This window comes from Homo sapiens, chromosome 2 (assembly GCF_000001405.40).
Source record: "Homo sapiens chromosome 2, GRCh38.p14 Primary Assembly".
Taxonomy (NCBI): Eukaryota; Metazoa; Chordata; class Mammalia; order Primates; family Hominidae; genus Homo; species Homo sapiens.
In genome coordinates this window covers 36,715,055-36,733,204 of record NC_000002.12, presented here as the reverse complement: position 1 = coordinate 36,733,204, position 18,150 = coordinate 36,715,055, and the positions used below count along the sequence as shown (strand labels likewise).

Genomic DNA, 18,150 nt, shown 5'->3' with positions numbered 1-18,150 from the left:
TCTGTGAGCTACCCCACGTCCTGCCCAAATCCCCCTTTTTGCTTAAGCAGATTGGCCTTGGAGTCCTGCTAATTGCAACCAAAATAACCCACATGAAGACACTTCCCATTGCCCTCTCGAAGAAGTCCAGATTCCCTGAACATGGCAGTAAAACTCTTCACCATCTGGTGTCTCTTTGCTTTTCATCTTTTTCCTCTACACATTCACCTTCTATTCTCTATTTCTGTATGTTGAACTACTTTTTAGCTTTTTCTACCCTTCAGGCCTTGGGCATGATGTGTTCTTTCTGCTTATTACACTCTTTTCTCCTCGTCTTTGCCTGGCCAATCCCTATTTGGCCTTCAGAATCCGTGTGTGTCATTTCCTCCAGGAAGCCCTCCCAGATACACAGCTTCTTTTCCTAACTCTCTGAGTACCTTTAGCTCCTCTTGTCCTAGCACTTATGTGGACATTATCATTGCCTGTTGACTTGTCTTTCTTCCACCTTTGATTGTGAGCTCTGTGAGGGCATAGATCGAGTCTGGGTTGCTGTTGTTTCTGGGTGTCTAACAGTGCCTGGTACTTGGCCAGCACACAATAAATACTTATCAAATGAGTGAATAATGTGCCTTCCTTGCCATCAGTCACCTCCCCCAGCAGCAGACTGACAGTGTTGAATAGAAAAAAAAAGAAAGAAAATGACTTTGGCCTCAAGCTATAGACTATGATTTGGAAATACTCTGGAGATCAAGAATCAGATATCTCCGAGTTTTGGGAATATCCAATTACCTTCATTGTATCTTTTTTTCCCTATTTAATAATTGTGCTAGAGTTTCTAATTAGAGAAAAGACCTCATGCATTTACTGATTCCAATGCGCTGCATCACTAGGGAGATTTTGAGAATAAGGCTAGAATTTAGCATATCAGAAATTCAATCCATTTGAGATCTCTCAAAGAGGTTTGCCCTTGGGTCATTTAGCACAGACTTTCATAGTCACTGCAAACTGTTGTCATGGTAATCATGGAACCTTTCGTGATTTTTGTATATGAGTTAATGAAGATACTGGAAACAGCCCGAAGGAATTCATACTTGGGCGTGCATTTGTCTCCATATTAACCTAATCATTGTTTTGAACACACATCTGCCCCAGGGCTGGTCCTCTTGGCTCTTGGTCCTGACAGAAATAAATAAACAACTGATTCCTTTTTAGTATTTCAGCCTAGGAGGCTGTGGATGGTTGCCCTTTTGGTCTCATTTCAACAGGAAATCTCACATGGAAGGTTTAAAAGAGCAGAAGAAAAAAGGAGGCTGTGTGAAGCAAATCTTTCTTTTATTTCAAATGATTAATGTGGCTGATTTCAAGGTACCTAAATTTAATGCCTATAAGAAAGTTTCAGTTGTGGAGAGCACAGAATGTTGACTGCATCTAAAGCCTTTTTTATGGTTCTTTATAAACACACTTTAACTTAAGCTTCCATCAAGCCTACAAATTTGGATACAGATATCCCAGTGTGCTTACAATATTTGAGTGTGAGTTTTCCATCTGTGTCTTCTTTTGTGAGTGATTTCCCAATATCAATTCTTCTTTTTTTTCATAGTAATAATAGCCCTTACTTTTAGCAAGGGACGTGGATGTTTAAAATCAAGACATGGCCGGTTGCGGTGGCTCACGCCTGTAATCCCAGCACTTTGTGAGGCCAAGGCAGGTGGATCATGAGGTCAGGAGATCGAGACCATCCTGGCCAACATGGTGAAACCCCGTTTCTACTAAAAATACAAAAAATTAGCCGGGTGTGGTGGCGGGCGCCTGTAGTCCCAGCTACTTGGGAGGCTGAGGCAGAAGAATCACTTGAACCCGGGAGGTGGAGGTCGCAGTTAGCCGAGATTGCGCCACTGCACTCCAGCCTGGCGACAGAGTGAGACTCCATCTCAAAAATAAAATAAAATAAAATAAAAATGAAGACATTTCCCACTCTGCCTTACTGCTGGCCAGTAGTACTTAAAGAGAGGGGTTCTACTGAACTTTCTGGATGTAGCTTTAAAGGGAGCTATTGAGAGCGGTAGGAGGCAGCCAAATGCCTAGGCAGATAGGGGTGGGTCCCTGGTGAAGCCCCACCTCCAAGCAGAAGACAGTTTAAAGCCTGAAAGGCAAGCTACAAGTTAAATCCTCAGACTGGACTGAGAACCTGTCTTCCTGTTTGGTGCGCTTTCCTCTGATGGATCCCCACCCTTCACCTATTTTACATATACCTACCCTTTTCCTAATTGGTTTTCTACACTGTCATGCCCACCTTTGAGTGGTGTCTTTGCTGTAAACTTTTTTGCATACTCGCAAACCAATCAGCACGTACTCCCCATTCTGAGTCCGTAAAAGTCCTCAGACTCAGCCACATTAGGGACTTTCACGCCTTTGGGTAGGGGAACCACCCCTCATGTCCCCTCTCTGCTGAGAGTTGTTCCCTCACTCGATAAAATTCGTCTCAGCCCTCCTCACCCTTCAATGTCCAGCTTATCCTCATTCTTCTTGGGCATGGTACAAGAGCTCAGGAACTGCTGAACATGAGTATAAGCTATAACACAGGTGAGCTGGGGCATGCCAATGTGGCCGAGCAAGGCCCAGGTGAGGCACCACCGGCTGGGGTTCCCTGGCTTGCAAAATGACTGAGAAGAAAAATCCTGCATCCCTATTATGTGCCCTTCTTCATCCCTTCCTACTGACTGGAATGTGGACATGATGGATGGAGCTGGGGCAGCCATTTTGGGCAATGAATTGGGAGCCGCATGGAAAATGGCAGAATTAGAAGACAGAAGTCTGGGTCCCTGGAGATTGTGGAACTTCCATAAAAGCCAAGACCAGGAGAGAGAAAGAAACTGCAGTCTTAAGTAAACATCTATTATTCCAGATTTTCTTTTTTTTCCCCCTGTTTTTTTTTTTTTCCACACAGTCTCACTCTGTGGCCCAGGCTGGAGTTCAGTGGTATGATCTGGGCTCACTGCAATCTGCATCTCCCAGGTTCAAGTGATTCTCGTGCCTCAGCCTCCCTAATGGCTGGGATTACAGGCATGCGCCATCAGGCCTGGCTAATTTTTGAATTTTTAATAAAGACACCACGTTGGCCAGGCTGGTCTCGAACTCCTGACTTCAAGTGATCCGCCCGCCTCAGCCTCTCAAAGTGCTGGGATTACAGGCATAAGCCACCGTCGCTGGCCTTATTCCAGATTTTCTGTCATCTAATCTTAACTGATACACCACTCAAAAGTGAAATTTATTTTTTCTCCTTCCATTGATTGGGTGTGAAATTGCATGGGCTTTTTTGCGAGATTTGCCTTCTGCTCCCAGGGTCTGTTGGAAGGTGGGCAGTTTTGCTAGACCTTTGCATTAGCCAAAATAAGTTTTCTGGTATGGGGAATTGAGACAACATTTCAATGTCAGGGCTAAGCTTTTTCCGCTTAGCCATAGAGACATACTGTTGCCTGGTCTTTGTATGTGCATTTTGAGTTTTCCTAGTGCAGGGGAACTACATATCCTTTACCCTAAAGTCAGGGCTCCTATCTCAAATACTTTTTGGAATGTGGTAGGGGATAAGACTTATCACTAATTAATCTGAGTGGAAATTAATTGACATAGAGATAAAAACCAAACCAAAACAAAAATTACCTAAAACAAGTATAATAACCCTCCATGTGGGAGAAACAAGCATTATGCCAGCAAGGAATTGTGATTTTACTTACTGAACTTGGGCCTTTTAATCTTCTTTGCCGTTTCTTTGTTTGAATGTACTCCAGTCACCAGCAAAACTACATGAAGAAAATTTTTAAAAATTTAATCAATTTTATTTTACTTAAATTCTTTCTCTTTTGACTCATACTTGCTTCGATCATCCACAAAGTATTCTCCATGGCAGAACTAATTTTCCCTCTTACAGTCATGCATCACTTAATGATGGGGCTACTCTCTGAAAAATGTGTCAACAGGTGATTTCATCATTGTGCCGATATTGTAGAGTGTACTTACACAAACCTAGATGGTCTACTACAAACCTAGGCTGTATGATATGGTCTATTGCCTCTTAGGTCAAAAACCTGTACAGCATGTTACTGTACTGAATACTGTAAACAATTGTTAACAACTGATAAATATTTATGTATCGAAATATATCTAAACATAAAAAAGGTATAGTAAAAATACAGTATAAAAGATAAAAAGTGGTACACCTTTAGAGGACACTTAGCATGAATGGAGCTTGCGGGACTGGAAGTTGCTCTGGGTGAGTCAGTGAGTGAGGGGTGAGTGAGTGTGAAGGCCTAGGATATTACTGTACAAAGCCGTAGATTTTATAACCACTGTATACGTCATCTACACTAAATTTATAAAAAATATTTTTTCTTTTTTCTTTTTTTTTTTTTTTTTGAGACGGAGTCTTGCTCTGTCGCCCAGGCTGGAGTGCAGTGGCGGGATCTCGGCTCACTGCAAGCTCCGCCTCCCGGGTTCACGCCATTCTCCTGCCTCAGCCTCCCAAGTAGCTGGGACTACAGGCGCCCGCCACTACGCCCGGCTAATTTTTTGTATTTTTAGTAGAGACGGGGTTTCACCGTTTTAGCCGGGATGGTCTCGATCTCCTGACCTCGTGATCCGCCCGCCTCGGCCTCCCAAAGTGCTGGGATTACAGGCGTGAGCCACCGCGCCCGGCCAATATTTTTTCTTTAATATAATATTAATCTTAGCTTACTGTATCTTTTTCACCTTATAAACTTTTTAATTTTTTAACTGTTTGACTCTTTTGTAATAACGCTTAGCTTAAAACATACACATTTTACAGCTGTACAAAAATATTGTCTTTCCTTATATCCTTATTCCATAAGCTTTTTTCTATTTTTGAGATTTTAAAATTTTTTACTTTTAAAATCTTTTGGTTAAATGTTATAACTTTTTTTTAAGTAAGTGAAGGAGTATACTCTAAAATAATGATAAAAATATAGGATAGAAAATACAGGCTGGACGTGGTGGCTCACGCCTGTAATCCCAGCACTTTGGGAGGCAGGGGTGGGTGGATCGCCTGAGGTCAGGAGTTTGAGACGAGTGTGGCCAACATGGTGAAACCCTGTCTCTACTAAAAATACAAAAATATTAGCTGGGAGTGGTGGCACACGCCTGTAATTCCAGCTACTTGGGAGGCTGAGGCAGGAGAATCGCTTGAACCCAGGAGGCAGAAATTGCAGTGAGCCGAGATCACACCACTGCACCCCAGCCTGGGCGACAGAGTGAGACTTCATCTCAAAAAAAAGAAAACACACACGCCAGCAACATAGTTGTTACTTGTTATCAAGTAATCATTATCAAGTATTATGTACTGTACATGATGGTATGTGCTATACATTTATTTGGCAGCTGGCGGCTCAGTAGGCTTGTTTACACAACATCACCACACACATGTGAGTAATGTGTTATACTACATCAGTGGCTACAATGTCACTAGGCAATAGGAATTTTTCATCTCCATTACAATCTTACAGGCGGCTGTTGACTGAGACATTGTTATGAAGTGGATGACTGTATTAAGATTGGAGAAAAGAGATGTCTAGTTTGTATACTTTTCTCAGCCCCTGCTGAAAGGTCCCTTGAAAGGCACCTCTTGGATACTTGTCCTTTGTTTTGCTGTGTTTAAATTTGACCACACCAACCTGACAAATCTCCATTTTCCAGAGGAAGGAATGTGGGTCTGGAGAAGTCCACTAATTTGTCTCATCCCATGAATTAATGATGGAGGTGGGATGAGCACCCTGGCCCTTCCTGTACTCTGTCTTCCCTTCCACAGCAGGTTTCCAGATGGCCAATCTCCAAATAGCCAGAGAACTGCATGTGCATGTGTGTGCATCTATGTGCGTGCACGCTATATGTGTGTGCACCTATTGTGTGCACCCATGTGTGTGTGCATACGAGTGTGCCTGAGGGAAGGCTGAATGCAGGGAACATAAAAAAAGCCTCAGAAGAGAGGCTGTCTGGGAAAGAAAGGCACGGAGAAAGGGGCTAGGGAGAAGAAGGACACTCATCACAATGTCTGAGAAGTGACCTGAGTATTCCCTCCGGGTTCCCTGGCAGCCCTGGTTCTGTGTCCCATCGAGGCAACTGCAGATAGTTGAGCTTCCTCCTTAGAAACAGGAGCAGAACCTCCGATAGCATTTGGACACCACTCTCCTTCAAGTATATCAATAGGTGAAGAAGGGAGAATTCTGTATCCTTTCTAATTTAAAGTCTGGTTCCTTTTCAAGCACATAAGATGAAATAGAGCTTTCTCAGACCTCGTGATGAGTCTCCTTCTTCTCCCCACCCCCTTTCTCCTTGCCTTTCTTTCCCAGACAGCCTCTCTTCTGAGGTTTTGTTTTTTTTTTTTTTTTTTTTTTTTTGAGACAGAGTCCCACTCTGTTGCCCATGCCGGAGTGCAGTAGTGTGATTTCGGCCCACTGCAAACTCCGCCTCCCGGGTTCAAGTGATTCTCCTACCTCAGCCTCCTGAGTAGCTGGGCTTACAGGCGCCCGTCACCACACCTGGCTAATTTTTGTATTTTTAGTAGAGATGGGGTTTTCTCCATGTTGGCCAGGCTAGTCTCGAACTCCTGACCTCAGGTGATCCACCTGCCTCGGCATGAGCCACCACACCCGGCCTGAGGCTTTTTATATATTCTCTCCATTCATTAAAAAGTGAATGTTGGCTGTTTTTATTATTGAAAAAAATCATGTTCTTTGTAGAAAAACGTAAACAACACAAATGTGGATGAATACAAAAGTATAATATTTTCCAGTCTTTTTCTATATGTATACAGGTATTCATGTGAATACTTTTAAACAAACATTTGATCCCTCATGTTTTTTACAATGTTCAATAACTTATTTCTACTTAATGATCTATATCGACATTTTTTCATGTCATTAAATGTTCTTTCTACAGTAATTTTAATTGCCTTCAAAGTATTGCACTATATGGATGTATCATAACTTAACCAAACTTTGATTTAATATAAATAGTGTAATCTTTGCATCGATCCATTATTTCCTTAAAATAAATTTCCAAATAGAATTTCTTGTCTGAAATGTATGCTCACTTAAAATTTTGATACATATTGTGAAAATTTCTGATAGCATTTTTTTTTTTTTTTTGAGACAGAGTCTCGCTCTGTCACCCAGGCTGGATTGTAGTAGTGCAGTCTCGACTCACTGCAACCTCCGCCTCCTGTTCAAGCGATTCTCCTGACCCAGCTTCCTGAATAGCTGGGATTATAGGTGGACACCAACATGCCTGGCTAATTTTTGTATATTACCAGAGACGGGGTTTCACCATGTTGGCCAGGCTGGTCTTGAACTCCTGACCTCAGGCGATCCTCCTGCCCCGGCCTCTCAAAGTGCTGGGATTACAGGCGTGAGCCACTGTGCCCGGCGGGTGTGTTTGTTTTTAACTGAACACAGATCATCAATTTAGGTATAAATGGACTTAGGAGTTCTTGGATTGGCAATTATTTTTGAAGAAAAACGTGGCAATGCCACCAAGTGTTTAAAAAAACTTTTTATTTATCTTATGATTATTCAGCTACTGTGGTCTCAATGTTTGTTTACCCACCCCCCCCCCACCCCTCAACTAGAATTCCTACATTGACATCCTAACCCCCAGTGTGATGATATTAGAAAGTGGAGCCTTTGGGAGGTCACAGGTCTTGACAGTGAGCCCTCATGATGGGACAAGTGCCCTTATAAAAGGGGCCCCAGAGAGCTAGTTTGCCTCTTCTGTCATGTGAGGACACAGCAAAAAGATGCCTCTCTAGGAACCAGGAAGCTGACCCTGACCAGACTCTGAATCCATCAGCACCCTGATCTTGGACTCCCCAGCCTCCACAACGGTTAGAAATAAACTTCTGTTTTTCTAAGCCACTCAGTCTATAGCAGTTTTGTATAGCAGACTGCATGAACTAAGACACTAGCTAACCTGTGCCAATGATGTGGCCATTGAATTATCTCCAATTCTGACTGTTAGCACTAGCTGAGGCCTGAGTAATTGACGTACCATATCCTAGGAGAACAGAAACATGAAAGAGAACTGAGTGAGAACCAGAAGTCTAGCCAGGCAGAATGAAGGCAGACATTTTTTAGGTGTATTTACTTCTGGGGTTTGAGTGGGTGTGAGTGTCCCGGAGGTCTAATTTTTATAGTAGCCTCTTGTCAATTAACTGTGCAAAGACCATGTTTTCACTTAATGCTCAAAAATAAATATCTATAATCCTATAATATTTTTAAAACAAGCACTAAATACATACATAGAAAGAAAATGAGCAAGGAGAGGGAGTAAGTGAAATAATAAATTTGGGTTTCAATTTTTGTGGAAAACCAAAAACTGTTCTTGGCCTCTGTGCCTGAGGCAAGTGGCTTATAAGTCCTGGTATCATTAGGACTATAAATATTTTAGTAAGAACACCCCATCATTTGCTTTTGGTTGCCCAAGACCTTTTAGGCTGAAAACATGCATAGCTGGGTTCAGTTGAACAGCAGTAATTAATAAAGTCATTATCTTCGATGGCACAAATAGGCCCTCCCCTCAGCTTCTGTGATTATAATTAAAGCTCCTCAGAAACCATTCCTCCAGGGGACAGCTGGTCTGCAAATGTGCTTGTGCCCTGGAGAAAGTCTTCACTCCTCCCCAGCAATCCCCCTCTTGCTACACTGGAAATGGTAAATTGCATGTTGAAGTTGGGGAAGAGAAAAATCAGTCTTGTGTTCGTTTTCCTAGGACGCCTAGCAGAGCACCAGAATGGATGGCTGATGCCCACTTCAAAGTGCAAAGCCGCAGACAGGTCTGAGAGCCAGTCCCTGGGTGAGGGTAGTTGGCAATGGAGGCCATGCAGGTCAAGAAAACTTGAAGAGAGTTAAGTCTGGAACCCCAAATTCCAAGGCAATCATGCAGCAATGCTTCTCAGCAATGCTTCTCAGTCCTTAAAAATCCAGTGTTCTCTGGCCAACATGGTGAAACCCCGTCTCTACTAAAAATACAAAAATTAGCCAGGCATGGTGGCTGGCGCCTGTAATCCCAGCTACTCGGGAGGCTGAGGTAGGAGAATCACTTGAAACCAGAAGGTGGAGGTTGCAATGAGCCGAGATCGCACCACTGCACTCCAGCCTGGGCAACAAGAGTGAAATTCTGTGGGAAAAAAAAAAAAAATTCCAGTGTTTCAGTTTTGAATAACATAAATAATCCCCCCCCTCCCCTCCCCTCTCTTTTCTTTTCTTTTCTTTCTTTTCTTTTCTTATCTTGCCCAGGCTAGAATGCAGTGGTATGATCACAGCGTACTGCTACCTTGAACTCCTGGGCTCAAGGGATCCTCCTGCCTCAACCTCCCAAACAGTTGGGCTTACAGACGTGTGCCACCGTGCCTGGCTACTTTTTTATTTTTTATAGAGACAGAGCCTCACTATGTTACCCAGGCTGTCTTTTCTTTCTTTAGTAGTGCCTGAAATGTTGAAGCATATTAAATACTAAAATTTCTCTTTCAGAAAAAAATTTCTCCCACTTCACTTTCTCCCTCTCTGATGTGACAATCAGGACAGTTAAAATATTGATTTTTAAAATTTATTGTTTAATGCATAGAGAAAATATAAATGAATAAGCTTGAAACTATGTTTAATCTTTTTAATGTTAAAAATGCAAGCTAAAGCAAAATGAGGGGGTGTTTTCCTGTATCATGCTAGTAAATATGGAACATAAAATTATATTTAATCCTGGCAGGGATTTGAGATTAGGGCTTCCCTGAACACTGTTGGTGAAGTATAAGCAGGCAGGGCCATTCTGGAAAGCAATTTCAAGAGCCTTAAAAACTTTTATATTCTTTGACCTAGAAAACAAACTCCTAGGAATATATCCCAAGTTATAATCAGAGGTATAGACAAAGATTTATGTAAAAAAATGCTCATTAGAGCATTATTTCTAATGGATCTGGAAATCATAAAATGTTGAAAACACGCCAACAATAGGAAATCCTAGGCATTTATTACAAATGGTGTGTAGTAGATTATTAAATTACCTGTGAAGTGTTCAGCTCTAACCTTAAGAATGACTCTGACAAGGTTAAAATATATGCAGATAAATAACTGGAACAAATATACTAACATGTTAATAATGGAGGAATTATTATTTCCATTTTATGTTTTCTGTATTTTCCCCTTTTACATTTGTATTTAATATAAAATATATATTTTATATAGACATAATTTATAAAATTAGAATCTTATATAAATGATAAATTGATATAATTACAAAAAACAATTATTTTTTAATCTGGTCATACTGAAATCATATAGATTTATAATAATGAAAATTGCTTTCTAAAATTATTGGCATGATTAATCTGTGCTCATGTTTTCCAGTTTTCCTGTCAGTAATGAATTATAATCAGAATCCACATTATGTTCAAGAAAAGACATGAAATACCAGAACATCTAATCAATAATCAAATCAGTAGGTACTTACTGCATATTTGTGTACCTAGAACTTTTATAAGCATGCCTCATTCTAGCCCATAAACTTCCTGTTAGATCTTTTTGGAGAACCTCAGTTTGCTAACATAGATAGTATCCACAATGCCTTCTTGAAAACCAATTTATAAAGCAGATCCTTTAAACATAGTTCAGGTTTCCCTGATGCTTTAATTTAGGATTATATACTCAATGAAACATTTAGCATCAAATAAATCAGAACTTCATAGCAAAGCCATGACAGCTTATTCTCTACAATCACATAAATCATAAAATTATGCTTCAAATCATAGGATATTTAAAGCTAGGAGGAGCTTTGGAGGTCATCCTTTATTTTATAGAAAGGAAACCAGAGCCGGTTTTAACCCCTTGGCTAATGCTGCAGTCGTTTGGGGGAAGAAGTTGGAACCAGAATGCGAGTTTGCTGGCTACAGTGTCGGCCTCTTTACTCCACTTGCTCCCTGTCAGTACACACGTGGATTATAAACAATACTCCAATGACAATGAGCAGTATAAAACTCTGCTCTATCATGCATTGAAACATATCTAAAGCAAGCATGCTACCTCTTAAATATATTAATTAAACACATTAAACACTTAATTGACATTAATTTAGAGAGCTTTTGAGGGATCCTTGGATGGCTCCGATACCTTAAAAATCCAGCGTCCTTAAGGACAATTATTTGTTTAGAAATATTTATTGAGTGCCTATGATATGTGGTCAGCACTAGAGATACAACACTGAGCACGACACAGCTCCCACCCTTAGTGAGTTAACAGATTTTGGAGACCCAGAAAAATGACAAGGTCAATATCTTGCAGCTATGGTGAGAATAAACACAGGACACCAAGGAAGTGCTTAGGAAGATGGCCCAACCTAAAGGGGGTGGAGGGAAGCTTCCTGGAGGATAGCATGGTTGGTGGGAGGAAGTGAGAGGAAGAGCATTCCAGGAAGGCATGTTCAAAGGCTTGTAGGTGAGAAATGATGCATTCCCCAGGGAAATCAGAAGTTCAGTGCCGGAGTGGGGGCTACGGTGAGTGACAAGAGCAGGGGAGGAGAGCAAGAGCCATATCAGGAAGGCTCCACAAGCAAGACACTTGAAGAAACTTGCGCTGCATCCTAAAGGCAAAGGGAAAACACTGAGTTTGCATGGAGAGCAAGAGTGGAGGTCAGATGTGGGCTTTAAGAGATTAATAGGGGTATGGTGGAAAATGAGGTAAAGGCGTAAGGATTTGGGGCAGGGAAGCCATCACAGCACCCAGAGGAGGGGTAGGGGGACTTAAGCAAATGGCCCTGAGGTGGAGACATGTGAGCAGAGGAGAGAGATGGCAGGGAGGCAGACACATGAGGACCTGGAGAGGGGACTATGTGAACGCAAGCTTCCTTGTTTTTCATTAATAGAGTGATTTATTATTCCCCCCAGCTTCATTAAGGTATAATTGACAAATAAAAATTGTCTATATTTATGATGTTTTGATATATGTGTACGTTGTGAAATGATTAAATCAAGCTAATTAACATAGCCATCACCTCACATACTTAACAATTTTTATGTGTGTGGTGAGTACATTTTAACTCTACTCTCTTAGCAAATTTCAAGTAAACAATGCGGTTTTATAAGCTGTAGTCACTGTGCTGTACATTAGATCACCAGAACATATTCATCTTATAACTGAAAGTTTGTACCTTTTTTTTTTTTTGAGATGGAGTCTCGCTGTTGTTGCCCGGGCTGGAGTGTAAAGGCGCAATCTCAGCTCACTGCGAGCTCTGCCTCCTGGGTTCCAGCAATTCTCTTGCCTCAGCCTCCCAAGTAGCTTAGATTACAGGTGCCCGCTACCATACCTGGCTAATTTTTATATTTTTAGTAGAGATGGGGATTTTGCCATGTTGGCCAGGCTGATCTCGAACTCCTGACCTCAGGTGATCCACCCACCTTGGCCTCCCAAAGTGCTGGGATTACAGGCATGAGCCACTACTTCTGGCCTGAAAGTCTGTACTCTTTGACCAGCATCTCCCTATTTCCCTGGCTCCCCAGCCCCTGGAAACCATTGTTCTACGTTCTGCTTCCATCAGTTTGGCTTTTGTAGATTCGATACAGTATGTAAATGAAATCATACAGTATTTGTCTTTCTGTGCCTGGTTTATTTCACTTAGTATAACATCCTTTGGTACACTTACATTGTAAATGACAGGATTTCTTTTTTTTAAGGCAGAATAATATTCCATTGTATATGTACAGTGTGAGCTAAGGGCCCAATTACATTCTTCTGCGTGTGGATATATTATTTTCCCAATAACACTTATTGAAGAGATTGTTCTTTCCCCATTGTGTGTTCTTGTCACCTTTGTTAAAAATCAGTTAACTATAAATGTGTGGGTTTCTTTCTGGGCTCTTTATTTTGTTTCATGGGTTTATATGTCTGGTTTTATGCCAGTACCATGCTGTTTTGATTACTATAGCTTTGTAGTGTATTTGGATGTTGGGTATTTGATGCCTCCACCTTTGTTCTTTTTGCTCAGGATTGCTTTGGCCTTTTGGAATCTTTTCTGTTTCCATATGAATTTAGAATTTTTTTTCCAAATTTCTGTGAAAAATGCCATCGGAATTTCAATAGGGATTGCACTGAGGATTGCACTGAAGAATCTGTAGCTTGCTTTGGATAGTATAGGCATTTTAACAATATTAATTCTTCCAATCCATGAACATGGAATATCTTTCCATTTATGTATGTCTTCTTTAATTTTCTGCATCTTTTTGTGTGTGTGTGTGAGTCAGGGCCTCACTCTGTCACCCACGCTGGAGTGCAGTGGCATGATCATGGCTCACTATAGCCTCAATCTCCCTGAGCTCAGGTGATCTTCCCACCTCAGACTCCCCAGTAGCTAGGACTACAGTCACATGCCACCACACCTGGATAATTTTTAAAATTTATTGGTAGATACAGGGTTTCTCCATGCTTTGCAAGCTGGTCTCAAACTCCTGGGCTCAAGTGATCTGCCTACTTCCGCCACGCAAGGTGCTGGGATTACAGGTGTGAGCCACTGTGCCTGGCCTCATCAACGTTTTATAATTTTCAATGCACAGATCTTTCACTTCTATGGTTAAATTTATTCCTAAGTAGTTTTTTTTTGATACTATCGTAAATGAGATTGTTTCTTTTTCAGATAGTTCATTGTTAGTGTATAGAGGTGCTACAGATTTTTGTATGTTGATTTTGTATTCTATAACTTTACTGAATTCATTTGTTAGTTCTAACAGGTTTTTGGTGGAGTCTTTAGGGCTTTCTGTATATAATATCATGTTATCTGCAGAGGAAATTTTATTTCTTTTTCACTTTGAATGTCTTTATTTCCTTTCCTTGTCTAATTGCTCTGGGTAGGACTTCCAGTACTATGCTGAACAGAAGTAGCAAGAGTAGGCATCCTTGTCTCATTTCTGATCTTAGAGGAAAAGCTTTTAGGTTTTCACCATTGATTATGATATTAGCTGTGGCCCTGTCATACCTGGCCTTTATTGTGTTGAGGTATAGGAGTCTCCTTTTTCTACTTTGATTTCTTGCTATCTGAATAAGCAAGCCAGAAGGGCAAGGGCAGGCTGAGAAAGGCAGGGGACAAAAGACAGCCAGATCTTCCTTTCTTGGTTCTGTGATGCTGGGAACATGCAGAAGGTGAAATGGCCTCAGTTTGTTTGTTTGTTTTATTTGTTCGACTAAACCCTATTCCTAACCTCTTGTCCCACCCTCAACCCATTCTTAAGTTAGAAACCTACTAACTTGTATGTTAGAATGAAAAGAGAGGTAGCCTCCCAAAGGGGCAAGGTAGAAATGAAGGACCTTGTGCTTTCAAGTTGTAGTTCCCCAGTGTGCTAGCCCATTTTTTTGTTTGCTAAAGTAAGCCAGGCATATACAGCAATTGTAGAGGCAGTGTTGGGATGGTTGACCCCTGGAACTTGCCCAGTCTCTGAGGATAATAGCAGTGGCTGGGGGAGGGCTCCTGGTCCAGGTACCTAGAAGTTCCTCAGGGCTTCTCATGGCCATCTGACAGGAGCCAGGGAATAGTGCCGCTGGCTCCTGAGAGTGCCTGCTATCCTTGAGGACCTATCCAAAGTGAAGAGAGGGCATTGTTTGTGGCCTTTTCTTTGGCTCCAGGAGAAAGTAGCTTACCTGAGAGACAAGTAGCTTGGACAGAGCTGCCCTAGGTCTCTGGCAGCCATGTTACATAGGGTTGGGTGATTAATAGCTCAAACATATAATTTGCAGGAAGCTCTGAGAAGATGAGTGACTTGACAAAATTGGCAAGTTGATGGTGGAGTCAGGACTAGAACCCATATCCTCCTTCTGACTCCTGGTCCAATACTCCTTCCACCATGCCTGGAGCCCCCTTGCCTTCCCAGCTGTATTACCTTCTTCTCTTCCAGTCCCCAGTTCTGCCAGGTACACACCCTCTGAACAGACCTTAAGCACTCTCATTATATTATGAGTTGATTTATGTGCCCTCAAATTTATATGTTGAAGTCCTGAGCCCCCGTATCTTAGAATGTGACCTTATTTGGAAATGGGCTCATTGCAGATATAATGTTAAGTTAGGATGAGGTCATACTGGAGTAGGGTGTACCTCTAATCCAATATGACTGATGTCATTATAAAAAGGGAAAATGTGCAGACAGACACAACTACAGGGAGAATACCATGTGAAGATGAAGGCAGCGATTAGGGTGATACATGTACAGGCCAAAGAAACCCAAAGATTGCCAGCAAACAGCCAGAAGCTAGGAGAGAGACATGGAACAGATTCCTCCCTTGCAGCCCTCTGAAAGAACCAACCCTCTTGACACTGATTTTGGACTTCTAGTCTCCAGAGGGTGGAGAGAATGGGTTTTTGTTGTCCTAATCCACCCAGATTGCGGTGTTTTGTTACAGCAGCCCTGGCAAACTAACAGACTGTCTGAAAGGCTTCTGTGCTCCTTCCTGGCAGTAGTTTCACAATGCTCCACAGGGTTACTCTACCTGATAAGGCACAGTGGGGCCAAGCTTAATGGAAGATTACCCTTGGGCTTGGCCCTGAACCCCTCAGCACTTCAGTTGAGCACTTCTAGTTGACCTACTGCTCTTCAAGGGCCTATCCATGATTGCGTACTCTGGTGATAATGGATTCTTTTTAAAAAAATCATCTCTGGGCCGGGTGCGGTGGCTCATGCCTGTAATCCCAGCACTTTGGGAGGCTGAGGCAGGAGGATCACAAGGTCAGGAGATCGAGACCATCCTGGCTAACACGGTGAAACCCTGTCTCACACGGTGAAACCCCATCTCTACTAAACACACACACACACACACACACACACACACACACACACACACACACACACACACACACACATTAGCCAGGCGTGGTGGTGGGAGCCTGTAGTCCCAGGCTGAGGCAGGAGAATGGGGTGAACCCGGGAGGGAGAGCTTGCAGTGAGCCAAGATTGTGCCACTGCACTCCAGCCTGGGCGACAGAGACTCCGTCTCAAAAAAAAAAAAAAAAAATCATCTCTGGCCGGGCGTGGTGGCTCACGCCTGTAATCCCAGCACTTTGGGAGGCTGAGGTGGACGGATCACGAGGTCAGGAGTTCAAGACCAGCCTGGCCAGCATGGTGAAACCCCGTCTCTACTAAAAATGCAAAAATTAACCAGGCATGGTGGCGTGCACCTGTAATCCCAGCTACTTGGGAGGCTGAGGTGGGAGAATCGCTTGACCCTGGGAGGCAGAGGTTGCAGTGAGCCGAGATCACTCCACTGCATTCCAGCCTGGGCAAGAGAGTGAGACTCTATCTCAAAAAAAAAAAAAAAAAAAAAAAAAGAATCATCTCTAAAAGCGTGAGTTGCTAATGCTATAGGTAGAGCCATGTCAGCGGTAAGAATTTTTGTTCATTTGTTTGCGAAATTAAGAAATAAGAAGATCCTTAAATTTACAATCTGCAAATATGCTGTATCTGAAATACTTGCTAATTGCTGAGGAATACACAAGCTAGGTGTGTGTATGTGTGTGTGCAATAGGTAATATACCAAGACATATATGTAATATATATACAGTATTTGCTTTACATAAAAACACATACACATGCATCCTGAATTTGATCTTTGCTTAACATTCTTACTTAAAACATCTCTTCAAAATGTTTCTTATAAAATGATACACTGTATTGTTTATATGCTCTGTCTTGGTTTAAAACTTTTCTTGGCTAGATTCTTTGGATCTTAGGAAAATTTTAAAAGGGTATCCAGATACACATATAAAAGTACTTACCAAGGAACATTTCAATAACAGATGCCTTCATAGTGAGAACAACAGTCCTCATAAATATCAGAATGACACCCTGGAGAGAAAGAAACAATAACGTCATCATATTTCAGCCGGGGGTTCTGATTTGGATGCACAGAGTGTGTGGGGATAGACTGCATCATTTTGCATTGCCCTCTGGAGTCTTACGATTCCAGGCTATAGATTTCCATAAGCAGCACATAGAGATGTCAGTGGCTGGCCTTGCTGGTACCCAGAGATGCTATTCTCAGTTAGAAAGCCCATTCTGGCCACCAGCCTCCAATTCTTCAAATATTTGATGTTTACTTAGAACTGAAGAGGAAATAACTCTACAATTTTGAGAATATGTCCAAGTAGTCTTCTAATTAGGATGAAAGCCACATTTATGGCATTCAGAAAACATATTTAGATTACAATTATTAATACTTCACTATTCATTCGATAAATATTTATTAAACTCCTATTATATGGCTACGTTTTGTTAGAAAGTGCTAAAAATTGAATTAAAAAACAATTCTCACCCTTGAAAGACTTACAGTTTAATATAGGTGGAAAAACATAAGTGGACACAAATAACCATGTTAAATTGCATAAGAGAATGTTAAGGCCTCATAAGAGAGTATAAGGGGAAGTTTGTAGAGCAGTGGTTCTCAAACTTTGCTGCATATTATTTAATAGTATCACCTGGGAGTTTAAAAAAATTCTGATGCCCAGGCTGTACCCCAGACCAATTGAATAAGTCTCTCTTGGCTTTGGGTCTAGTTAATTAAGTTTTTAACAACTTCTCGAGTAAATCCAACATACATCCAAGTTTGAGAACCAGTGGTTTTGAGTCGGGCTTCTTAAATCTTTTTTTTTTTTATTTTTTTTTTTAGACGTAGTCTCACTCTGTCACCCAGGCTGGAGTACAGTGGTGTGATCTCGGCTCACTACAACCTCTGCCTCCCGAGTTTAAGCAATTCTGTGCCTCAGCCTCCCAAGTAGCTGGGATTACAGGCATGTGCCACCATGCCTGGCTGAGTTTTGTATTTTTAGTAGAGACTGGGTTTCACCATCTTGGCCATGTGGTCTTGAACTCCTGACCTTGTGATCCACCTGCCTCGGCCTCCCAAAGTGCTGGAATTACAGGCATGAGCCCCTGAGCCCAGTTGGCTTCTTAAATCTTAATGTGTTTACTCATCACCTGGGGCTCTTGTTGAAGTGCAGGTTCTAATCCAGTAGGTGGGGGGTAGTGCTAGAGATTCCCCAAGGGCCAGAAATTTTAGAAGGAGAGAGACTATGGCAGCCATGGGAATAAGAGAAATCCTCATAGAGATGGTAGCAACTGGGTCAACTTTGAAGAATGAACAGACT

General features: G+C 41.8%; 1 protein-coding gene and 1 long non-coding RNA gene across 13 annotated transcripts in view; one reads left to right on the top strand and one right to left on the bottom strand.

Annotated features, from left to right (window-relative positions):
• Positions 1-18,150, top strand: part of LOC124905990 (uncharacterized) — a 118,030-nt gene that overhangs the window by 74,234 nt on the left and 25,646 nt on the right. The gene's annotated exons all lie outside the window — the stretch shown is intronic.
• The window catches only part of VIT (vitrin), a 118,088-nt gene that overhangs the window by 81,590 nt on the left and 18,348 nt on the right, over positions 1-18,150 (bottom strand). For all 12 annotated transcript variants that reach the window (NM_053276.4, NM_001177969.2, NM_001177970.2 and 9 more), the window contains exons 2-3: positions 16,783-16,852; positions 3,714-3,779 (exon numbers count right to left, since the gene is read on the bottom strand). In NM_053276.4, coding sequence (NP_444506.2) covers positions 3,714-3,779; positions 16,783-16,834 — 118 coding nt within the window. In that variant the 5' untranslated portion in view covers positions 16,835-16,852. The remainder of the gene's footprint in view (positions 1-3,713; positions 3,780-16,782; positions 16,853-18,150) is intronic.